Source organism: Homo sapiens, chromosome 4, assembly GCF_000001405.40.
Source record: "Homo sapiens chromosome 4, GRCh38.p14 Primary Assembly".
Taxonomy (NCBI): Eukaryota; Metazoa; Chordata; class Mammalia; order Primates; family Hominidae; genus Homo; species Homo sapiens.
Window position 1 is genome coordinate 151,861,512 of NC_000004.12, and position 23,462 is coordinate 151,884,973.

The 23,462-nt window shown below is 46.2% G+C and overlaps 1 long non-coding RNA gene across 1 annotated transcript in view, besides 3 other annotated features; it reads left to right on the forward strand.

Annotated features, from left to right (window-relative positions):
- The window catches only part of LOC127898557 (uncharacterized), a 140,693-nt gene that overhangs the window by 62,153 nt on the left and 55,078 nt on the right, over positions 1-23,462 (forward strand). The window lies entirely within an intron of this gene.
- Positions 12,488-13,099: an enhancer, noted in NCBI's record as "OCT4-NANOG-H3K4me1 hESC enhancer chr4:152795151-152795762 (GRCh37/hg19 assembly coordinates)". NCBI's record gives its function as "activates a minimal SCP1, AML or CMV promoter by ChIP-STARR-seq in naive and primed H9 embryonic stem cells {active_cell/tissue: H9 hESC(naive and primed)}" and the evidence as "EXISTENCE:reporter gene assay evidence [ECO:0000049][PMID:30033119]".
- Positions 21,435-21,484: an enhancer, noted in NCBI's record as "active region_22023". NCBI's record gives its function as "activates an Ori minimal core promoter by ATAC-STARR-seq in GM12878 lymphoblastoid cells {active_cell/tissue: GM12878}" and the evidence as "EXISTENCE:reporter gene assay evidence [ECO:0000049][PMID:35858748]".
- Positions 21,495-21,544: an enhancer, noted in NCBI's record as "active region_22024". NCBI's record gives its function as "activates an Ori minimal core promoter by ATAC-STARR-seq in GM12878 lymphoblastoid cells {active_cell/tissue: GM12878}" and the evidence as "EXISTENCE:reporter gene assay evidence [ECO:0000049][PMID:35858748]".

Genomic DNA, 23,462 nt, shown 5'->3' on the forward strand with positions numbered 1-23,462 from the left:
GTCCTTGGGACGGCAGTGGCCCTCACGCCAGCAGATGCTTGTCATGAGCCTGTGCGGCTGGATTTACGCTCCTCATGTCTGCCACTGCCAGGACAAGAACAAGAGCAGTTGCTCCTGCCTTTTGCATCTTGGGTCCCAGAATGAAACACGTGGAGGAGGCCTGTCCGGGCTGAGCCGATGATGTGCAGTGAGACGCTTGCTGCTGTGTGCCACTGAACATCTGTCGTTGCCATGCAGCAAGAGCTGATTGATGCAGAATCCAAAGCCTTACCTCGTGGTCCTGAGTGTCCTCTCTGACAGCATTTTTGTACACTCTCGCCCTCATGGATTGTGCTCCAGCAGTGTGTTCCTGCCCCAGGGTTTTGCCTTTGTTGTGTCCTCCACTTATAATTTTATTTCCTTCAACTACCTGTTTGGAGCTCTGGTAGTGATAATTGTGGTGAAGCAGGATAAGGGGCTAGTGAGTCCCGGCGGGGGCAGGAGGAGGCTGTTTTAGATGGGGTGGTCCGAGGAGGGGACATCTGAGCAGAGAACTCAAAGGGTGAGGGAGTGAGGGAGCAAGCCACACGTATCAGTGGGGGCAGGGGGCCCGGGCGTGTTCCTTGCAAACAGTGTCTTCTAAGCACTCTATGGTTTTCTTCCTGCGTTAGTGGCTTATATGAAGGACCTGGAAACTCCTTTCTTCCCTCCTCATCCTACCCATATCCTTCTCATTGTGAATTGAGGCCAATCCCTTCCAGGTCCCTCGGCTTCCTAGGAGATTGAGGTCTGCCCCTGGCCTATGTTCCCAGGGTGCCCTGGCAGCTCTCCAGTTATTTGTTGGGGAGGACCATCTTGGGTTCATAGCCAGCTAAGAATAAAGAAGTTAGACTGGGAAAAATGATATTTAGGAAGAGTTTTAAAACTTATTCACTCTACCATTCTTCTAAGTATTCTGAACCTTCTTCTGGGTACAACCAGGTTGGTAGGGAGCTGATTACTTGGGTGTCATAGTAGCCTCCAATCCATTGCTGGAGTTGAGTGCTAATGCCCCGTATTATTATTATTCAGAGACAGAGGCTTGCTCTGTCACCCAGGCTGGAGTGCAGTGGCTTGATCATAGGTCACTGCAGCCTTGAAATCCTGGGCTCAATTGATCCTCTCATCTCAGCCTCCCAAGTATCTAGGACTACAGGCAGGCACCACCACGCCCAGCTAATTTTTATTTTTATTTTGTGGAGATGGAGTCTCAATATGTTGTCCAGGCTGGTCTCGAACTTCTGGCCTCAAGCAATCCTCCTGACTCAGCCTCTGAAAGTGCTGGCATTATAGGTGTGAGCTACCTTGGCCAGCCTGCCCAGTATAATTACACCACTGACCAGTACTAAGAGTTTGTATAAGACAGCCTAGCGAAATATCACTTGGTCTAGAGCCTTGCTACTCAAGTGTGTCTCACAACCAGTAGCATCGCAGCATCACCAACACCGAGGAGCTTGTGAAACATGCAAAATCGCTGAGCACAGTGGCTCATCCCTGTAATCCCAGCACTTTGGGAGGCCAAGGCAATGAATCACCTGAGGTCAGGAGTTTGAGATTAGCCTGGCCAACATGATGAAACCTCGTCTCTAATAAAAATACAAAAAAATTAGCTGGGCATGGTGGCGGGCGCCTGTAGTTCCAGCTATGTTGGAAGCTGAGGCAGGAGAATCACCTGAACCCGGGAGGTGGAGGTTGCAGTGAGCCGAGACTGTACCACTGCACTGCAGTCTCAGCAACAAGAGCGAAACTCAGTCTCAAAAAAAAAAAAAAAAAAAAAAAAAAAAGAAACATGCAAAATCTCAAGCCCTATTTCAGAACTTTAGAAGCAGATTCTCCAGTGATCACAGCAAAATATGAGAACTGATCAATTCCTCATTTATGACATTGCTTGGTGTCCTCTTTATTAGAACTTCACAGGTAAATTTTTGTTTTGTTAGTCCCAAGACAAATTGCTCTTCAGAGCATTTTATTTGCTTTGTTGCTCTTACGGACATTGCAAATTGTGTACAGTTTCTCTTTTCCAGTTGGCTGCTAAATCTATACTGTCTTCTACACTTAGTGTAGTGTTTTGTATGGAGCAGAAGAAAAATATTTGATGCATAAACAAAATGAATCCATTCCCTATATTATTAAAAATAAAAGACTCCTAAAGTCCTCAAATGGGGTGGTATGCTTGTTTCAGTGGCATCATGGTACCAGAGAAATTGAGGAGGCTTTTGCTTACCAGCAGGCCTGAGGATATAGCCCCCAGGAAGCACTGGTGCTGACTGAGGAAGAGGAGCAATGGCTTCAGTTCTTGGGGACCGAGGAAGAAGCCCAAAGCTCTCAGTGACTGGCTCTCACACACCTGGAAGCTCTGCACATTATACATTGACCCTGTGAACTGCTCCCACGTGCCAGGTGGGACTTTTGTATGATCAGCTGGATAATGATGACATAGAGCCATGTGCAATGGGTGGGCCAAATGGACCTGCCCAGTTCCTGGTGCTGGGGCTGTGGCCATGTCTCCCTTTCTCCTCTATGCCACGAGGGGCCTTTGGACTGCCAGGCACTGGAACTCTTTTGCTACTTTCTAGAAGGGAGAATATTCCAGACCCCACCTCTCCTCCCAATCCACAGCCTCCCTCAGTGCTATCGCACCTTTTCTGTGCATGGTTACTGTGGGAGAAGGGAGGTAAGCCAAGCTGACTTGAGACTATTCAGCTCCTGGTGCTGCAGCAAGAGGGAAGTGATAGGCCATTGCTCCCCCTCCTGTTTGCAGGTATCAGCACCTTTCTGAGGAGGCTGAAGATATGGGGCTGGTGGTCATCTGCCCCTATCTCTCAGAGGTTTGGAGGAGAGAGGTTTGGCTGAACAAGGCATGATTGGCAGGCCTGTGCCGACCTCCTCCGGCCCTGCAAACAGCGGTACTTCTCAAGTGCCGGTAAAGTCACTTACCTGTCTACTGGGTTTCTTGGACCACGCAGGGTCATACCCATAGAAATCACAATTAGCAGATGTATGTGTGTGTTTGTGTGCAGGCACACATATATGTATATATTTATTACATGTGTTTATATGTATGTGTGTGTATATTCCCCCAGTCCAAGAACTAAACTCCCTTTATGGCACACCAAAACACGGCTTTTCAGTAATTTTTATGTAGCAAATTAGAGAGTTGTCTGAAGTCAGGGGGTACTGTAATTTGGAAGCTGGTCCTTCATCTAAACACGGCCCTGGGGGTTAATCAGCAGGTGCAGATAACTCGGCACCTTCCAGGATTTGGCGATCAATGGTAAAAATGGACAAACACAGACATGTACTTCAACTTACCCCACCAGGAACACCGCATAGCCTCCTGGCCTCAGAGGCTAGCACCTGGAAACCACTTCTTGTTGTCTTCCCACAACTGAAAGTAAGAGTGACACTATGGAATCTGTAGCAGAACCAAGCAACACAGTCCAGTTTGGACCACTGATGGGGTCTGTACAAAATGAGATCCGATTTTCCTTGTCAAGGAGTAGTTACTCTGGGACAGCCTTGGCTGTTCTGCCCACTTCATCCATTGTGAGCTATTCCCAGATTTCCTTCCTCAGAGGCGGCTGCAAATTTGGAGTGCACAGATATACACTCACATCTTAGATTACTTTTGCCAATGCACATTACCTTATGTTTATTTGAGTTAAGTTTCATCTGCCTTCAGGCTGCTCAATCCCCCCAAGTGTTTGAATGCATCTGGAGTTTCCTGCAAATCTCCTTAGTTTTTATTAGCCAAAACAATTTGGAGCTAGTTGAAATCTCTGGGAAGACATTACAGGACGATTATGTGACAATTGCTCGTGTAATCTGTGACCAGGTAGCCCAGGGAGGGACTGTGGGTTGTAAGCAGGATAGCACTTCTTTCAGCGTGTGCCTGATCTCACAGCCCTGGAGAGGTGCCAGGGAGCCCCACATGGTGTTTGTTTCTGCAAGTGGAAATGCAGATGTCTCTGCCTCAACCAGGGCTTGGAAGCCACCTTTTGGGGAAGTGACAGGGAGGCGTGTTACATAAGATCCATTCTGTCTGAGTGAATTGGTTATGGGAGAGAGAAGAGGAAGCAGAACAAGAGCTGGTGGGAAGCAAGTGAGTGAGAAGGAAGCTTGTGCAGCAGCCTGTTCAGATGTGTGGAAATACAAGTTTAATCAAGGGGAGGAGAGAGAATAGGAGTGTGGCACTATGGACTAGCCTAGGGAGGTAGAGTGGTCAATTTTGGCATATCCTGGAAGCTGGAAGTGAGGGGCTTGGACAGGGATGGAAAGAGCTGCCCTCAAGACCCAGAAAAAGACAGCAAGGAGCAGCCCAATCTGACAGAAGGAGAGAAAGCAAAAGGAGCTGTTTGCAAGAACCAGATCTCTTGGAGCCTGGCTAGTGCCAAGCTCTTGTGTGTGGGCAGAGTCTGAGCGGATCCGAGTGTTTCAATGAGCTAAACTAGTCAGCTTCAAGCTGTTCCATAGACAGTAGGTGTGAATCCAAAATCATTTCAGACATTCAGCTTTATAATGTTTCTTTTAAGAAAAAAAAAAAAAAACATGGAAGAAGCACCAGACCCAAATGATCACTTTTTCTCTTGGCCAGTTACCTGTACAAGTATCAGGCCAGTTGTAAAACACAAGTCTGGGTAGGTTAGAAAGGCAAGTTGCAGATGCCTCTTCCCTTACAGCAGCATTCATGGGAGAGCTTCTTTCTTTCTCTCTGCCTCAAGGATACTCACCATTCTTCTATTCCATTTTTAGAAACAGGCTGGCAACACACATTCTCCAGTCTCCACACAACTCTCCTCTCCTCGCTGGTCCGTTTGTCTCTAAGGCTGGTTGGTTGTTTGCATCTGCCTGAGTAGTTCGTTCATGGGAGTCAGACTCGGATGAAGGTTTAACAGTCATTGAAGGATCGTGACCACTTCCACTGCCTTGCTAACAAACCACGACCCCACTCTCCAATCTGCTGCACTTCGGTCTTGCTTCAAATTCCTGTGGCTGCAAGGAAGACCTATTGTTAAAAATGAGGAGCTAAGACTATGAGTGTTTGGGGGAATCAAATGCAGAGCTGCAGCCTGGGGTAACCTTGGCGAGCACTGTGGCCACCCAGATGGGGAAGCAGTGGACCAGAAGAGGGCCTCAGGCCCCAAGCTTGCCTGATTCATGGAGTTCTTCTTTCTCCCCCACTAAGTGGTTGCGTTAGTTTGATAAGGCTGTTGTAACAAAATACCACAGATTGGGTGGTTTAAATAACAGGAATTTCTTTTCTCACAGTTCTGAAGACTAGAGCCTGAGATCAAAGCGTTGGCAGGGTTGGTTTCTTCTGGGGGCTGTGAGGGAAACATCTGTTCCAGGGCTCTCTCCTTGGCTTCTGGGTGACCGTCTTCTCTCTGCCTCTTCTCATGGTCACTCCTCTGTACCTGTCTATGTCCAAACTCCCTCTTCTTAAAGGAACACCAGATGTATTGGATGACGGCCCAGCCCAATGAACTCATTTAATATTAATTACCTCTTTAAAGACCCTATCTCCAAATACAGTCACTTTCAGGTGTACGGAGGGTTGAGACTTCACATATGAATTTTGGGAGTGGACACAATTCAGCCTCTAACAGTGGTCAAGGAAGGTTTTCTTTCTTAAGTCTAGCTATAAAGAATACCCATTTGGAGAAACAAAACAGCCTAAGATAGTTCAAAAGGACACGATCTGACTCCTCATCCTCTCATAGTTCATTGTTGGCTGAGCCAGAGTCCAATTTCCTTTGCTTCAGTGAGTGGCTGCACAGTGTGAGGAGAAGTAGGGGCCTGCTAATGCCCTAAGGCTTTGCCAGATTCCTGATCAAGCCACCAGGGATGTCCCAGGAGTGTTGGCAATGGAACTGCCCAGGGGCTTGGCATTGTGGGCATCAACCTGATTAAACCTGGCCTAAGTGCTGCACCCAAATCATGTCAGAGGTGGATCAGGTTTTTATTCATTCAGGTAAAATAACAGGCAGTGTGCAATAGGGGATTATTTCAGGGAATGGGGTCACTTTCAAATGTTGCACAGATGGAGCTGGGTAGTGCATTCCACATAAGGGAGGGGATGTGGATGAATAACCTGGACTCAGCCACTTGGCCTAGATTGGGGAAGGAAATGATGCTTGAGCCCCTCTGGCTTAGTCACCTGGTACCATGAGGTAGCCTCGGGGAATGATAGTGAATGTCACCTAGAAGAGGGAATGCTCAGAACTGTGCCCCTGGAGCCCAGGCCATTTTGCTGGCTCTTGCTCAGGCAGGTTGCTCATGCTCATTCAGGTTGAAGGAAGCAGCATCTGTGTGGATCACCTGTGCTCCAACAAGGCCCTCAGCAGCACTTCACTTGGCCACAGGGCCCGGAGGCTGACCATAACCTATGGTGGCAGAGTCTAGCCTGGAGGGTGTCTGAGCTCCTGGAGGGTGACAGTAGGTAAGTGGCAAGGGGAACTGATTTATGAGTTAGTGAAGGTGATTCTTTGGGATCCCTGGGAGGGAAAATCCAGGTAAAGACAGATCTTATACACTACCTGGTGATGTAGGGGCTTTGGCCAACTCAATTTTGGTTTAAAAAGGAAGTGTGGCCTCATTTTGAAATGGCAGGCTGGGGACATCGGGACAATACAGATTATATAGATAAAGAGGATGAGAACTTAACAGTTAGAGGGTACAACATGTGTAAAAGCACAGAAGAGTGAAAATGTTAGCCATATTAAGTTCAAACCTAATTTTAACTACAAATTATATAACATTTTATATCACTTAACAGTTTACCAAAGTTTTTTACGTAGTTTCCTTTATTATGTCTTCACAATGAACCTGTGAGATATTTTATTAACATTTGATGGTAGAAGACGCTGAGGCTCAGAGATGTTAAGTAACTTGCCAAACTCAAAGAGATAATAAGTGATAGGCTTAGGATTCTAACCAGGGTGTCTAACTTCAGACCTCACATTCTTTTTGTTTGTTTGTTTGAGATGGAGTCTTGCTCTGTCACCCAGGTTGGAGTGCAGTGGCATCATCTCGGCTCACTCTAACCTCGACCTCTCAGGTTCAAGCGATTCTCCTGCCTCAGCCTCTCAAATAGCTGGTACTACAGGTGTGTTCTACCATGCCCAGCTACTTTTTGTATGTTTAATAGAGATGGGGTTTCACCATGTTGGCCAGGCTGGGCTCAAACTCCTGACCTCAAGTGATCCACCCCTCTCCCTGACCTCAAGTGATCCACCCCTCTCGGCCACCCAAGGTGCTGGGATTACAGGCATGAGCCACCGCATCCATCCCAGACCGCACATTCTTTTTTTTTTTTTAATTATTATACTTTAAGTTCTAGGGTACATGTGCACAACGTGCAGGTTTGTTATATATGTATACATGTGCCATGTTGGTGTGCTGCACCCCTTAACTCGTCATTTACATTAGGTTCTTGACCTGGCTATGCTACGAGGCTCCTGGGCATTGCTGAACAGGGAAGGGGTGGGACTTGACAGTGGCCTACCTAAACAGGGATGAGTATTTTTTCTTTGAAATTGCTTGGAATTGCCAGTTGCATAATGATAATACAAAGCAGACCAATTTTTAGTTGGTTCTATCATTGTTTGTCAAATCTCCATAAATAATTCATCCCTAATTCAGGCTGTGATTGCCTACAGCCAGAGCAAAACTTTCCCTCTACCTTTTTTGGATATCTCATTGCAATGATTCTTATTCTTGGGTTCCTAACTGCCCTGGGCAAGGTTCTACCAATAGACACTCATGTTTCCAGGCAGTGGCTACCCAGAGCCCTAAGGAGAAACAATAGGTAGCTTCTATAGGGTTGTCAGGAAGGAAACATAGACGTTTTTAGAAATTATGTCACATTGGGGTTGAGCAGCCTGACCCTATTGTAGCCTAGAGAGCCATGTGTTCTCTCCTCTTAGAAGGAAAGCTGGAAGCAGAGAAATCATGGGTATCTACCTGATTAAGCCTGGCAGGAGACAGGAAACAGGAGATTCTGGCCCTGCCATAGCTTAGGCCAAATATCCATCCCAGAAAAGCAGATGCCTGGAGACTCAGCCTGGAGAAGCCATCACAGGGAGAGGTAGAGATGGAGGTCCACTCCATCTGTAGTGGTGTAGGCAGCAGGATGGATGGGCACACACCTGAGGGCCATCAATCAGAATCTTCACTTGCATTCAATGTAAGGAAGAAATATATACACACACCCCACAGTTGGCATTTTCTGCACATATTTGATTAAAATCTGACAGCATTTTCCTAGTGAAGGTACAATTTCTGTGATTACCCTCCTCCCAGCTCCTTGAAAAAACAATCTTAAAGCAAGATCATTAGTCAGGTAACTGTGTATGTGTATGTGTTTAGCCAGGTGCCACAGAAAGATGTGCAAAATATTTTCCTTGATTCTCAACATGAATTCTATTAGGAAGAGAAATATCTTGTTGTTTTTGTAAAAAAATTACAAAATCAATGCATGTTCCTTATAAGCCCAAATTCAAACAATACAGCAGTATATAGAATAAACAAGAAAAATTCCCTTTAATCCTTAGTCCTATAATCTCATTCCCCTCCCCATCCATGACCACTGCTGATAGTTTGGGGTGAATCCATCCTGACCTATTTTATGTATTATCACATATGTAACATATAGACGTGGCTTATACGTGTGTGTGTGTGAGTGTGTGTGTGTGTGTGTGTGTGTGAATGAGATCCTACTGTACTAGATACATTATTCAGTTACTTGCTTTTTTGGGGGGGAGTTTTCCATGTCAGTACATGTGGATCTACCTTATTCCTTTAGTGGATGCATACTATTTAATCATTCTCTTAACATTGACGTTTAGATTACGGAAATTTCATACCAAAGTAGGCCATGCTCCTTTCCCCCTTTTATTGATCCCAATCATTAAAATATTCAAAGAAAAGCCAAAAGACAGATAGGGAGGTACTGTCTTCTGGCAACTTGGGGAGTGCAGAAAGCTACCTGACCCTTCTCTAGGCTGTACCCAAAATCACTGCTCTCCTGAAGCTATGAGATTTTAACCTTCATTTCTTTATGTCTTTGTTTCTTCATTCTTTACCGCAAGGATCCTCTTCTAAAATGCAGAGGAACTGGGGGTATAAAGGAGTGCGGATAAAACATTAATAATAGTTCCTACACCACCATGACAAGAAGGCTTTGCAAAGTGTAGAGACAACTCACAGAGAAGACATTATTATTATTCCTGTCTAGCACTTTACAAGTCATTTTTTACCTGGGTTATGCTCCTTAGCTACCTCACCTTCATGTGGAAACTGTACAGGCCCCTTTCTCCAAGACACGGGAAAGACCTGGAAGGATAATAGGGTGGAGAGCTTGGGCTGAAGAGGCATTGAAAGGGAAGGTGAGGAAAAAGAGGAAAGACAAGAGACCTGGGATGATGACAGCTCACATTACCCCGCTCATGATGCTGCCTAGGGCTGACCCTGCCATACGCCGGCATGTTTGCCTGCTGACTGGGCTCGAAAGTTAAAATTGAGTTCTGTGGATGCTGGCCAATGACTTCCTTGTCATGGGAGTGATTGCTTTTTGCTGTATTTGCAAGATGTGAATTCATTCTTTTTTAATATTGGTAATACACAGTAAAGAGCTTAATTCAACTTACAAAGAAATAGGATCAGGCAAGCCTTGAAAATACAGTGTGCCTTTATGGCTCGAAGATGTTAGTGTTGGAGTAGAGTGAGTGTCTCAGCAGCACGGAAACTCTCTCCATCACCATCATCCTTCATCATCAGGACCCTGGCACAGAAGCGATAGGAGCCTGAGGGGGTTGGAGGTTTAGGGGTGCCTTGGAGCTCTCGTTCCCGTGATGTAAGAAAACCGGGCCATACTGACCCAGCAGTTACCATATTGATGTGCTGTTACTCATGTAGAAAATGGAAGCTCCTGGCCTCCACTCAGGAGATAATCCATTTTAAAGTTACTCATGTAGAAAGTGTGCTGAGCCACCAGTCCTTCCTTCCTTGTCTTTTGCTAAAAGTGATGTTTGTTTGCTAGATGTGTGACCTGGGTTAGAGGTGGCCTCTGCCCTGGTCTGTGTGAAGGATGGAGTTCATGGTTATGCTGGGCTTGGTTTGAGGGCAGGAATTAACATGGAGGAAAGTCTGGGAGTGGACAGGACCCTCTGCCTACAAAGCCGCCACACAGCAAAAGCCTAAGGTCTGTGTCTCCGTGTGCAAAAAGTTGCACTAGCTCCAGATTCTCTTTGACACCATGAGGTACTGATCTAGTGGGCAGGTGGTCAGAAGTCTCCAGAAAGCTAGAATGGTGTTCAGGCATGTAGGAGGGAGGGCTGAGCTCTCTGGTGGCGGTGGGGTTTCCACTACACTTCAGTGTAATTAGATTTGCACATATTTTTGGATATCAGTTATGTGCCAGGCACCATGTTAGGTTTAGCAATGAATTAAACTTGATCCTTCCCTTAAGGAACTTACAAGATGACTTTAACATAACCTGCTAAGGTTGCTATGAGTGCATGGAAGAGAGATAGCCAAACCTGGGTGGGAATGGAGGAAAGGCTTTCTGGAGATGACACTTGAGCTGAAGTTTAGAAGACGAGTCAAACAGAGTTATAATTGTACAACAGTAGGGAAGACATCCTAGGCAGAGGAAAGAGCAAGGACATCAGAGATATGTGGAAACACCATGGCTTGCAAGAAATGAAGCCAGAGAAGCAGGAGCCAGATCATGGAAGGATGGATGTGCCCTGCTAAGGAGCTGGGACAATACTCTGTAAGTGAAGAGAGCCCTTCAAAGATCTTAAACAAGGCAGTGCCAAGGCTTAAAGTGTACTTTAATAAATCAGACTGGGAGAGTCTGGAGGGTGGAACAATTCTCGAAGCCAGGAGACCAATAAGGAGTCTGGGACAATGTGCCAAAGGAAGCCCAAGGAGGTCTTGAACATGAGTAGAATCTGACCAGGAGAAGGTGGGGAGAGAGGTGCAGGGCTGGAGAGCCTGGGAAGGGAATTAATAAGGGCCAGACAGATTGTCAAGGTGCCCAACTAGAGATGAGAATTCCAAGAAAGGACCCAAGAGAAGTTGTATTTTACAGACAGGTCCCTCTTGGCAGGGAGTGGAAGAAAGCAGACAAGATGGGGATTGCCCAGCTCTGTGAACGTGTTGGATGGGTGCGTCTATCCCGAGTACAACAGAATCTGAACTCAGGGCAGTGTGATGTACTCCAGAATCTACCTTCTGATGGTCATGGGCTCAGGATGGGCCTTGGAGGAGGTGAGTGGACTGAACCTGCAGGGTGGAGGTCTTCAGCTACAGCAGCAGGTGGGCCTGGGAGAGGCAATAACTGGGACAGTTTGAACCCACTGCAACCTGCCCACCTGGCCACCCCGGAGTACGCAATAGGCAACAGCTTTGAAGCTAAACAAACCCAAGTTCCTATCTTTTCTCAGTCACTTCCTGGGTAATCGAGCAACTGACTTAACTTGTTGGAATATTAACATGTGCACCTGTCAGATAGGGTCTACCTTACCTGATTTTGTAAGGTGTAAGTTAAATGATTACTGTATATAAAGTGATTGGCATAGAGTAAGTTCATTTATCTAACTGATTTTTTTTTTTTTGAGTTGGAATCTCGTTCTGTTGCCCAGGCTGGAGTGCAGTGGTGCTATCTTGGCTCATTGCAACCTCCACCTCCTGGGTTCAAACGATTTTCCTGCCTCAGCTTCCTAAGTAGCTGGGATTACAGGCATGCACCACCATACCCGGCTAATTTCTGTATTTTTAGTAGAGACGGGGCTTCGCCATGTTGGCCAGGCTGGTCTTGAACTCCTGATCTCAGGTGATCTGCCCACCTTGGCCTCCCAAAGTGCTAGGATTACAGGTGTGAGTCAGCTTGCCCCACCTATCCAACTGATTTTTATTACACCTACTGTGTTCTCAGTACTATGCAAAGTACTGGAGATAAAATTATGAATAGGACTAGCCAAGTTCTTGCTCTCCTGGAGTACCAGCACTCTACGCTCAGCTTTTTGGATGTGAATCCACTGAGTCGGTGCACACCTTAATAAACATCCTCCTTTATTCACCGATATTGGTCTCTCTGGTCCTCTGATTCCTGTAACACTGCAGCTTCCATGTTGAATACTCCATAACTCTCAATAATGCTCGCTTCTTTCTACCTGAGTCAGTGCATGTTTTGGAGTGAATACTGTCATGTGCAAAGTGCCTTGCTCAGTCTCTTCTGGAGTAAGTCACTAATGGACAAGTTCCCACATTGGATTTCCACCAGCAACACCCAGGAAGCTTTCCAGGGAGCAGATTCCAGGGCCCCATCACTTGCATATTGGATTAGAGCCTCCAGAGACTCCTTATTCATGGGAAACTCCCAAGGTTTTGATGATGACCTTGGCAATCACTGCCCTAGCATACTAGAGTGAAAAAGACAACATTGAACTTCACATAAATACGTTACAGTAGGATACTGACCAGACTAGGCCAATGTCAAGAATTGAGAGGAACAACAAGAAATTATGTTAACCGTGCTTTTGGGTGTAATTGTTTCCTTGAGGGGAATTTTATGATTATTTAATTAAAGCATTTCACTTTGATTAAAGGTGTTGCTTTGACTTCTCGAGTATGAAATACAAGACTTGTGAGAATCAAACAACTTGTTAAATGCAAACAGTTTACCAAGGGCCAGCCCTAAACAAGACAAAATATAATAAATAATAAGCTTTAGAAATTAAGTGTAAATGTCTGTGGAGAACCTAATTATTTCTCTTGTTATGAACATTAACCCACATTCAGTTTTTAAGCCTGTGTTATTCTAATGATGTTCACCATTAGCCATTTCTGACTACAATAAAAAGAATCGCAGGGGGGATTTTGTTCATTACTGCATGCTGGGATTTGCATTGTTTTGTCTTCACTTGATTGGAGTTTCAGATGCCTCAAGTCTTCATTCATTGTGAATGGAGAGAACTAAGAGCTGCCCCTGTGTGAGAGCAAAATGCTTTGCATTTCTAACAGAACTGGAGGGCTGAGATAGCTCACTGAGACACATACATAGAAGGAAGTTTCCTCCCAGAGAGAAGAAGTTAAGCAGAGAAGCAGAGGAGTCGACGATGTGCCAGCATCTTGCCCTAGAAGTGAACATTAGGGATAATGGATTTGCAGCTGTGCCCAGTCAGACCCAGGGAGAGGTGAACGTAAAGACTTTGGGATCTTGTCAGCTTTGTATCCGTTTTATCCCTTCAACCAATGGTTAGTGAACACCTACCAAGTGTCAGGCTCTGTTCAGGGCACTTGGGATTTATCAGTGACCAAAGCAGACAAAGATTTTTTTTCTTTATGGAGCATTCATTCTAGTGGAGGGAGGCAGATGTACATCACAAACACAGTAAATAAGTAAGATGCAAGATTATAAGTGAGAAAGAAGAACTGGAGCAGGGTAAGTGGAAATGGAAATGTATTAAGAAAGGTAGGCAGGGGAGGCCTCGGGGAAAGGGTGATGTGTGAGCAAAGACTGGAGGAGGTGAAGGAATTGGCCAACTGGATATGCAGGGGGAGGGGCACTCAGGGCAAAGGCTCAAAGGTGGGAAAGTGCTGAGAAGCACCGAGGAGGCCCATGTGGCTGGAGTAGAGAGAGCAAGGGAGAAAGAGACAACAGAGAAAAACAGAGCCGGACCACCTAAGGCCTTGTAGACCAGATCAGAGACTTTGCTTGACTCTGCATGAACAGGGGAGGCATGGCAGTGTTGGGAGTGCAGTGTGGCATGTCTGACTTAGGTTTCAAATCCATCTGTAGCTGCACTGGGGCCAGGGGTCCTATGGCAGGAATTCAGAAGAGTGAGGCTGGTTGCTTGGGACCAAGGTGGTAGCAGTAGAGAGTGACCTTCTAGATAAATCATTGAGACTGGCCCCAACAGGATTTCCTGCTGGATTGTATGTGGGGCATGACAGAAAGAAAAAACAGAGTGGAATAATTGGAAGGATGGAAAAAGAAAATCTGAAATAAACCAGATACACTCACAATCTAATATTAAGCCACATATGTGAATGCCAGTGTAGTTCGGGGACACCTACAGGTTATAAACTTGGGTAGCTCTGGGTAATTTTGTAGGGCATTGGGGTGCTGTGGGAAGAGCCTGGTATTTGGCATCAGATGATCTTGGGTTTTAAAGGCATTTACTTGCTCTGTGATTTTGAGGAAGCTGCTTGATCTCCCAGCACCTCAGTTTCCTTGTCTGTCATATGGGGTGATAATGTAATAACGCTTCTCTTACAGGGTCTGTGAAAATTAAATGAGGTAATGCATATAAAATACCAGTCATCCAGCCCTAGAACTGTTGATTGTCCTCTCCCCTTCCTGTAAGGGGTTGTATAAATCATCCAGACCTGCGTTGGTGATGGAAAATGAAGAGAAGGCCGGGAAACTGTTCCTGGCACAGGCTTAGTTTCAGAGACTGTCATCTCCAGGACATTCCGCCCCCCTCACTCCACTCCCCCACCCCCCACTGAGATGATGGGACAGGGTGCAGGAGACAGAGGACCCGGATAGAGACCAAGTTACTTTCTGGCAGCTGTGACCTGTTGGAGGGCCATGACCACCAGATAGGCCTGATGACCTATAAAAACAGTGTGACATGGAGGTAACCATGGCAGAGTAGGAACTTGTTTATGTGGGATTAGGAAGACATTACGGGCTACAGGGCTAATGTGGTCCTGTAGCTGGCCATATGCTTTAAAGGCAAGGAGCCTGTGCAATGAGCTCCTCAACCCAGTGAGACCACTGAACCCCGAGGAACCAGAGTTCAGCCCCATCACATGTATTTATGATGGGGGTAGCCTTTGCACTCATTGCTTGCTGGTTCTGAACTAAAGAAGCAAAAGCAACTTTAAAACCTAGTCTGAATTTTTATCCCCACTGAGCTTCAGAGATCTGGCTTAGCTTATCCTTCTTTCATTCATCCCTCATTCCCCTTCTAGCTCTTTTTTTTTTTTTTCTTTTTTCTGGCATGTCCTGTCCTGGGCTCTAGACCTCTTGAATGTTGTCTGTTTCTGTCTCCTTCATCCACTTCCTTGCTTCTGTTTCAGTCCTGCTCTAGAGAAAATAGATCATCAGAGGAGCCAATAGGGACTAAAGACGCATCTTGCCTGGAGACCTGGAACCTGGCTCCTCAGCCCTTCCCAATGCCCTGTCCTGTGGTTGATAGCGTCCTGGAGGCTGTGCCCACACTCAGAGGCCTGAGGCACCTGGGCCAGGTGCTCCCCGGGGACCATTCTACCATCTTTCCTCCAGAAACTCTGACTCAGATTTCTCCTGTCATATGCCAATCATCAGTTTCAATATCCAAATTAAAGTTTCACATTTACTGGATTCCTAACTAGCTTCCAGACATTGTACTAGCTGCTCCCACAAATATTAACCAGAGTAACCTATTCAATTGTGATTCAATTCAGGAAGGCTGGCAGGACCTGTACCTGCACATTTTAAAAGTATAAACCCTGATATGATTCTCAAACATCTTCCATGGTTCTAATAAAATGTATATCAGCAAATGGGCTGGGCGTGGTGGCTCACAACTGTAATCCCAGCACTTTGTGAGGCTCAGGTGGGCAGATCACCTGAGGTCAGGAGTTCAAGACCAGCCTGGCCAACATGGTGAAACCCCATCTCTACTAAAAATACAAAAATTAGCTGGGCGTGGTGGCAAGCGCCTGTAATCCCAGCTACTCAGGAGGCTGAGGCAGGAGAATCACTTGAACCCGGGGAGGCGGAGGTTGCAGTGGGCCGAGATCATGCCACTGCACTCCAGCCTGGGCAACGAGAGTAAAACTCCATCTCAAAAAAAAAAAAAAGTATATCAGCAAATGAAATGCAGACATTACAAATTGTTTCCATGATTGCCAATATTTGCTGGGTTCTTTCAGGTGACAATGGTTGTTTTATCTTAATAATGAGGGCTGATGGTAAGGATTCATGAAAAAATAAGGAATTCTGAAACTTCCAAGGGCCTCAAGGAAGCACTGATAACTTAACTGTAGGCACATTCAGGAAGTTCATCCCATGGCTGCCAGGTGTATCAGGGGATGCAGTAGCAGCAGGCCGGGTTGCTGCAGTGGCTCTCTGCTTTATGAAGTCTTAGTGCTTAGTTCCTCTGTCCCTGCTTCCACAGTCTCTGCAGCTCCTGAAGAAAACTGATCCTACCTTTGTGTGTGTATATATATATATATTTAATTTTTTTTTTTTTTTTTTTTTTAGACAGAGTTTTACTCTGTCGCCAGGCTGGAGTGTAGTGGTGCGATCTCAGCTCACCTCAACCTCCACCTCCTGGGTTCAAGTGATTCTCCTGCCTTAGTTTCCTGAGTAGCTGGGACTATAGGCATGCACCACCATGTCCAGCTAATTTTTGTATTTTTAGTAGAGACAGGGTTTCACCATGTTGGCCAGGATGGTCTGTATATTCTTTACTCTCTGTCTCTCTTTTTAAGAGACAGAGTCTCACTCTGTCACCCAGGCTGGAGCTGAGTGGCTTGATCATAGCTCACTGCAGCCTCAAACTCCTGGGCTCAAGTGATCCTCCTGCCTCAGCCTCTCAAAGCACTGGGGTTACAGGTGTGAGCTACTGCACCTGGCCCCTTTGTATATTTTGAGTTCAAACTCCTTGTCGTTACTTGGCAAAATTTTCATTCCAGGCCACTGCATCGGTTACTGGCCAGCTTTGAGGGCAGGGAACAAGTCCCCCTGGCTGCATGATGGTGAGGTCATACAATGCTCTGAGGGGTCTCTGCAAGGGGCAGGGAAATTGGCTTGTTTACTGTAATTGACTAAAGTAGGCTGATGGCAGAGGACTGTGGGTAAAGTGCTCTGGTGAACCTTGGAATGTCATTGGCTCAATTCTGCCATGGGCTTTTTACGTGAAATGCCTGGGTTTCTTCATTCCAAACAAAGGAGTGGGTGGAAATGTCCTACCTTGCCTTAAGAAGCTATGTTATGATTAGGTAAGAAGACGGAAAAAGCAGCGGGTATTCTATAATTGCAGATCGGCCAGGGTATTAGAAACCCAGCCAACAGACCTAATCAATTCAACAGAAGACACCATTAGCACTTAGTTACAAGGCGACTGGTGAGAAAACAAGCTGGTGGTTTTTATTGTATCGTGTCTGAACTGCTGATGTTCTTCCTGCTGGTGGGAGCTGTTCAGAATTACTTTGTCAAGCCTGGCTCTTTGGGGGATAGGACAGAAAACAGAGCTGGGAGCAGTCTCTGCTGTGAACAGCCATAAAATCCACCTTGAAAAGCAGTGCAGAGTTGCAACAGAGATATGGTGGTTGGGAATTGGCTCTGGCTTGCTCAGAAAAAAGAATTAAGAAAGACAAGAATTCTGTCCTGGGAGGCTAAGTAGCAGAAACATCTCTTCAGGAAGAGCTGTTCCCAGCAGGTGCCATCCCAGGAGATCCAGTGGCCAGGCAGGTCCAAGATGACAATGGGTGCCAGGCTGCACAGCTCAGTGTTTCTTTCTGCCATGGCCAGGGGGAAGGGGACTGGATGCAGAAGCACAGTTGGGGAACGTACCCCAAGCGTGGCTGCTGCAGATTGACCAAAGGGTGAGGGCTGTGATGAGGCCAGTTGCTTCAGGGAGGCCAGAATCACAGTGTTTTGTGGTTAAGGACAGAATCTGGTTCTCAGGTAAGGAAATTGACCAGCACCTGGAAGGTATCAAGGCCTTAGATATGCAGTTCTAGAAGAATAGGGACAGAGAAGAAATCAAGAAATCAAGAGTCCATCCTAGGATTGGGCTCAGAGGGACTCAGGCCTACACTAGGGGAATTTGGCTCTGGCTGCAGTGAAGGCATCAAGGAGGGGCAGGAGCAGCCGGCCTAGCTGGTCCCCAGGACCTGGGTTGAACAAGGACTGATGTCCAGGCCCTGTTACATTTTGGTGACTTAAGAAAAGCAATGACCAGTTGAGACTATGTCTTCTTCCTCAGAAAACAATACAGAGCTCCTTAGGAGAGGAGCTGGGCAGGGCAGGGAGAGAAAGAGCATTATGAGAATGACCTGGCATTTGTGAGCAGCTTGGAGATCTTCGGGCAGAAGCCGCTCTGGATGAGCTCATTGGAGCAGGGCATCGGGAAGCAGTAGAATAAATTTGATTAAAGCAGTTTGTTCTTCTGATCGGCCCCGAATTAGGAAGCAGATCCAAGCTGGGCAGCACAAAGTGGTATGAAAGAAGCCAAGCCCTGGGTAGTGTTTTCCCTTCTGTCCTTTGTCAGTCACTTTCCAAACATCTGTACCTTTATCAATACAGAAGTCTCTGGGGCCCTGTGGCATCTGTAAGAACAGGCTCCCCGGCTGAGGCAGCCAAGTGCAAATCCAGCACAGCACGGGGATGCTATCTATCACTCAGGGCTTTCCAGGGAGATCCTATTCAGAAGCCCAGGTGCTTAACAGGTAAGGAACAGTGTTAATAAAAGTTCTTTTGACTTGAAAGGGCACAGAAAAAACCAATAAAGCTGAGCCCAGCTCTTAAAAAAAAAAAGGTTGATAAAACCGACAAAAAATAAAGAAGTAGTTTATCGTGGTTCTAAAAGAAAGGCGAGGGTTTTTCTTTCTCTTGTTTAAAGGCAGAATTAATTAATCTACCGCTGGCTTGAGCTCTGAATGGAATGTTAGCTGTGACTCTGGGGGGCTGTTAAGTCCTCTGGACCCTGGATAAGCTTTCATTAAAGCAACGGTATTTAAAATAGTGAATTTAAATTCATCCATCGAACAGAATAGAGCACCAGGAATAGAGAAGAAAAGCTAAATGACGAGAGTGCTGTTAGGAAGCAACTCTTGAGAACAGAAGTGCAATTCCTTAAGCCCTCCTTAGGGACAAGATGATAATAATATTAGAACAACCATAGTGGTATCAGCAGCCCCGGTTCCTTTCCTTTCCTCTGCCTTTCCCAGCTTCTCACAGCCAAATCCATGGGCTGTCTGCACTCCCAGGCTCAGATCTATTTTACTTCCTGAGCAAGCAAGACCAAAAGAAGTGGCCACTTCTCATTCTCAGACCAATGGGCCAGAGGGCCAGCTAAGGGGTTTCTCCCGTCCTTACCCCATCCCTAGGTGCCCTCCCCACAGGTGACATGCTCCATCCTAGGTCCTGGGGTGAACTACTTTGGAGTCTCTTAATTTCTTCACTGTCTATACTCTTCTAGGACTGTCTGTCTAAGGCTTTGATACCATCCATCCTTCTGGCCAATTTCCTCCCCTAAGGGCCGAATTCTGCCCTTGAGCCCCAGGCTAGAGTCCTGTCCAACATGGACAGATTTTCTGGAAGTAAGCCCACAGCTTGCCTGAATATTTGATTGACATCTGAATTCCTTGCTGCTGTGCAAGGAATCCTATTGGGATGCACAGGATAACTGGGAGTACGATGCCATCTGAGATGCCTGCTGTCCTCTCTGGAGGTGATCTCTGTGGCCCCATTCATTTCCCCACACTCTTTCTCGCCCAGGCCTGGCTTCCTCTTGTGCCCACTTGCCCTGTTGTTGAGAGTCTAGCCTGCCTCTCACCTGGCCCATTCAACCAGCAACTTGGGACAGCCTGTGGAACCCTGTGCAAGATCTCAGTGGAAGAGAACAATTATTTTGCAGGCACAATGGAGACTACCCAAAGTGTACAGATAAATCTAGACCTTAGATTTAGGTATGTTTAGAATTGATTGAATCATTCATTCAATAAAAAAGATTATTGAGGGCTTATGTACCAGGCACTGTTCTAAGTGCTAGGGTTATAGCAGTAAACACAAAAATACTTGTTCTTATGAATATTATGATCTGGTAGGGAGAAGATAGACAATAAAAACGATGAAGTGAGAAAAAGATATAAATGCTATGGAAAGAAAGAAAGCAGAGGAGAGGGCAGGCAATGTGAGGTAACTGCTGTGATCTTAAATAAAGCAAAGGAAGCTTTTACAGAGAAGGTGACATTGAGGAAAGACCAGGGAGATGTTAGGGAGTGAGCTGGGCCTTATGAGTACCTGGAAGAGAGCATTCTAGGTGAAGGGGCAGTCAGTGCAAAGGCCCTGAGGTAGGCGTATACCTGGTCAGTTGGCTAGAACAGAGAAAATGAGGGGGAGGTGAAGTGGGGAGAGGATTCAGCACCTGTAGGTGGATTTAGGCCTCTGGAATGGGGGAATGAAATAGGGACTGTTTTAGTCAGCTCGAGGAGCCATAACAAAATGCCATAGTCTGTGTGGCTTAAACAACAACCATTTATTTTTTATAGTTCTGGAGGCCAGGAAGTCTGAGATCAGGGTGACAGCATGGTCAGGTTCTGGTGAGGAGCCTCTTCCTGGCTTTGTAGTCAGCTGCCCTCTCGCTGTGTCCTCACATGGCAAAGAGAAGCAGCTCTGGTGTCTCCTCTTCTTCTTACAAGGATGCTAACTCCATCACAAGGGCCTCATCCTCCTGACCTCATCTAAGTCTAATCACCTTCCAAAGTCCCCGGCTCCTAATACCATCATCTTGGGGGTTAGATTTTCAACATACGAAATCTGGGGACACAGACATTCCATTTATAACGGGGAGCTAGTGCAGGGTTTTAAGCACTGAGAAAATCAATTCCAAAGTCTTTTACCCTCCATTAAATCAACAATTATCTGCCTCAGTTTTCCCAAATCCCATCCTGGACTCTAACTCTAGAAGCTTCTTAGGGACTCAGAATGAGTCTTGCTTAGGAAAACTAGGGGTTTCTCTGCGTGCTGCTTTGGTAGTTCATGCAAATCTTCGTTTTCTCCATTCAGCAGAGACAGGTGATTTTCAGCTTATAAAGTTCAATGACGTCAGCTTTAAAGTTTTCCTTTGGTCCTACTTGTGCGATTTTTAAAAACTAAGCAGTGATCCACATGAAAGATGTTTGGTTACCCCTATGACTATAGATTAGACCAAGACGCTGTGGCTTCAGACAATGTTAATCTTAACCTAGGCCTGGATTTATTAGGCTGCCCGGCATCCGAGATCTCAGATAAGTACATTTTCTACTCTAGCCTTTGCTGTACTAAGCCTCACTGGAAAATTTTCTAAGGGTTCAGAAAAGAAATACTTCAAACTGTAAACCACATAAGCCTTTCTTTTCAGTCTTGTCTTTTTTCCCCCACCTTCTCTTTCTTTCTGTATAATAGTGAAACTATCTTCAGTGCCCAACTGACTCATCTGGAAGCCTGATCAGTGAGTTGAATTATCCTCACTTTTTAAAAAGGAGATGAATTATTTGTCTAGAACAAGAAACTGTGCACTGAGGTGACTTGGTATAATGCCCTGAGAGGCAATAACAACCCAGTGACCCAGCCACGCCGAGGAGGTGAATGTCGTGGGATTGAGGGGAATGGCCTTCACCCTTCATTCAATGTCTCTGCTCCATCCCAGGCCACTGGCTGCAGAGATGAAAAGTAATGAGGGTATTACTCAGCTCCACAATTTCTGTAAGATTCTGGACATGCCTCTGGTGCATACACCCTAATGGGACCCATCAGATCTGAACTTGCTCCAGTTGATCCGCTTGTGACCAGGATCCAGGCCTAAGCCCTAAGTCAGCTGCAGAACTTCATGTTCCCACACTCTTTTTTGCCCAGGCCTGGCTTCCTCTTGTGCCCTCTTACCCTATTGTTGAGAGTCTAGCCTGCCTCTTACTTGGCCCATTCAACCAGGAATTTGGGACAGCCTGTGGAACCCTGTGAAAGATCTCAATGGAAGAGAACAATTATTTTGCAGGCACAATGGAGACTACCCAAAGTGTACAGATAAATCTAGACCTTAGATTTGTCATTCATCTGACAACTATTTATTTTGCTTTTGTGTGACAGCATTGTTCTAGGCACTGGGGCTACAGTAGATGATTAAACAAACAAAATTCCTTGCATGCATGGAGCTTACATTCTAGGAGGGGTAATAGACAAGACATAAGTTTTGATCCCGGAGTCTCCAGGGCTGAGGTGGATCAGGGAAGAGAGCAGGACATTTCTCCAGACCTGTCTCCTCAGGGCTGAGCTGGCCTGGTCCAGGATCCGGGGCCCAGGAACAGGGGTGGGTCAGCCAGGCCTGGCCTCTGCTGGAACTCCTTATGTGGTCTCCAAAGGGACTTTGCCTCTGTGAAGGCCTCTGGCCAAGCATGCTTTGTAGAATCAGTCCCTCCTGGTACTACCTAGGTCTCCTAGGCAAGGCTGCAAATGTTGCTCACTTGTGGAACTCACGATAAAAACAACCCAAATTGCTATGGTAGTTGAAGAATGAAAGTCTGAGCTTAAGGGAATGATCTGTCCCTGGAGGAAGTTGGGGGAAGGTAACAGCCAATAGGATGAAAGAGGGAGCCTGCAGAGGCAGGAGTTTTGATGATGAAAAGACTACTTGAGATTCTTCTTTCTTTTCTCTTAGCTTCACCCAGCACTTACACATACACCCCGGTTCCCTCTCGAAGCTCCCAAAGCCCCTATGCATTAAATAAAGTTCAGAACATAAGAAAAAATAAACTAGGCATTTTATCTGTGACATGGATTACAGCATCTCCTCTGGTATGACTTACTACCCTAAAGCTTTTTAAAAGGATAGAAGCAATGAGGCTCGAAGCCCAACAACTGTTTCAAACCCATTAACTGGACTTGAGCTTTGCCACACAGCTTCCCTCTGATTTGAGGTGGTTGGGATGTACATTTATGGCTGATGCATCTGTAGTTATAAATACTTGTGAAAAAAATAATGGGGCTTGAAGGTCAGAATAGTCCATTAACCCTAGAACTGCACCATCAGGGAGGTGAGGGAGCATCTTTTGTGGGGAGCAGATGGGTGTGAAAAAGTCCACACAAAGTATAATAGGGCATGTTTGGGAGACAAGGGGAATTTTCTGGTCACTCCAGAGTTTCATCTAAAGCCTAAGACTCAGAATAAAAGGCTCTAAATTGATGACAAACTAAGTTCAGGAAACCACCCTCGAATGTGACTGGTTATAGTCACAGTACTACTATCCAGCCCTCTGGTAATCTATGAGAACTTGGGTTGAAGGCAGGTGTCTTGATGGGGAAGTGCAGTGCTGCTGAGAGGAGAGTGATTCCTGAATGGGCCCCTCATAAAGATTGGGCTGCCCCAATTATCCCCCTTCATTAAGTTGTTTGCAAACTGCCGACCTCCAGAAGGGTAGGGTGCCTGGCACTGTAGGGGGCACTTGGAGGAAGAGGCAGGCGAGAGAGGGCTGGAATAGCAGGATGGCCAGGCAGACAAGGGACAAGGGCATGCTCTGCGGTTTCTGGTGTCCGAGGAGGACTGAAGGTAGATCCTGCACACACCACACACACCAGTAGATTCTGGAGGTGGGGGTGGTAGAGGGTGGATGAACTTGATGGTTACAATTTTGCAAGAGGCACGGCCAGCAGCGTACTGTGAGGTCACGTGCTGGTGGTT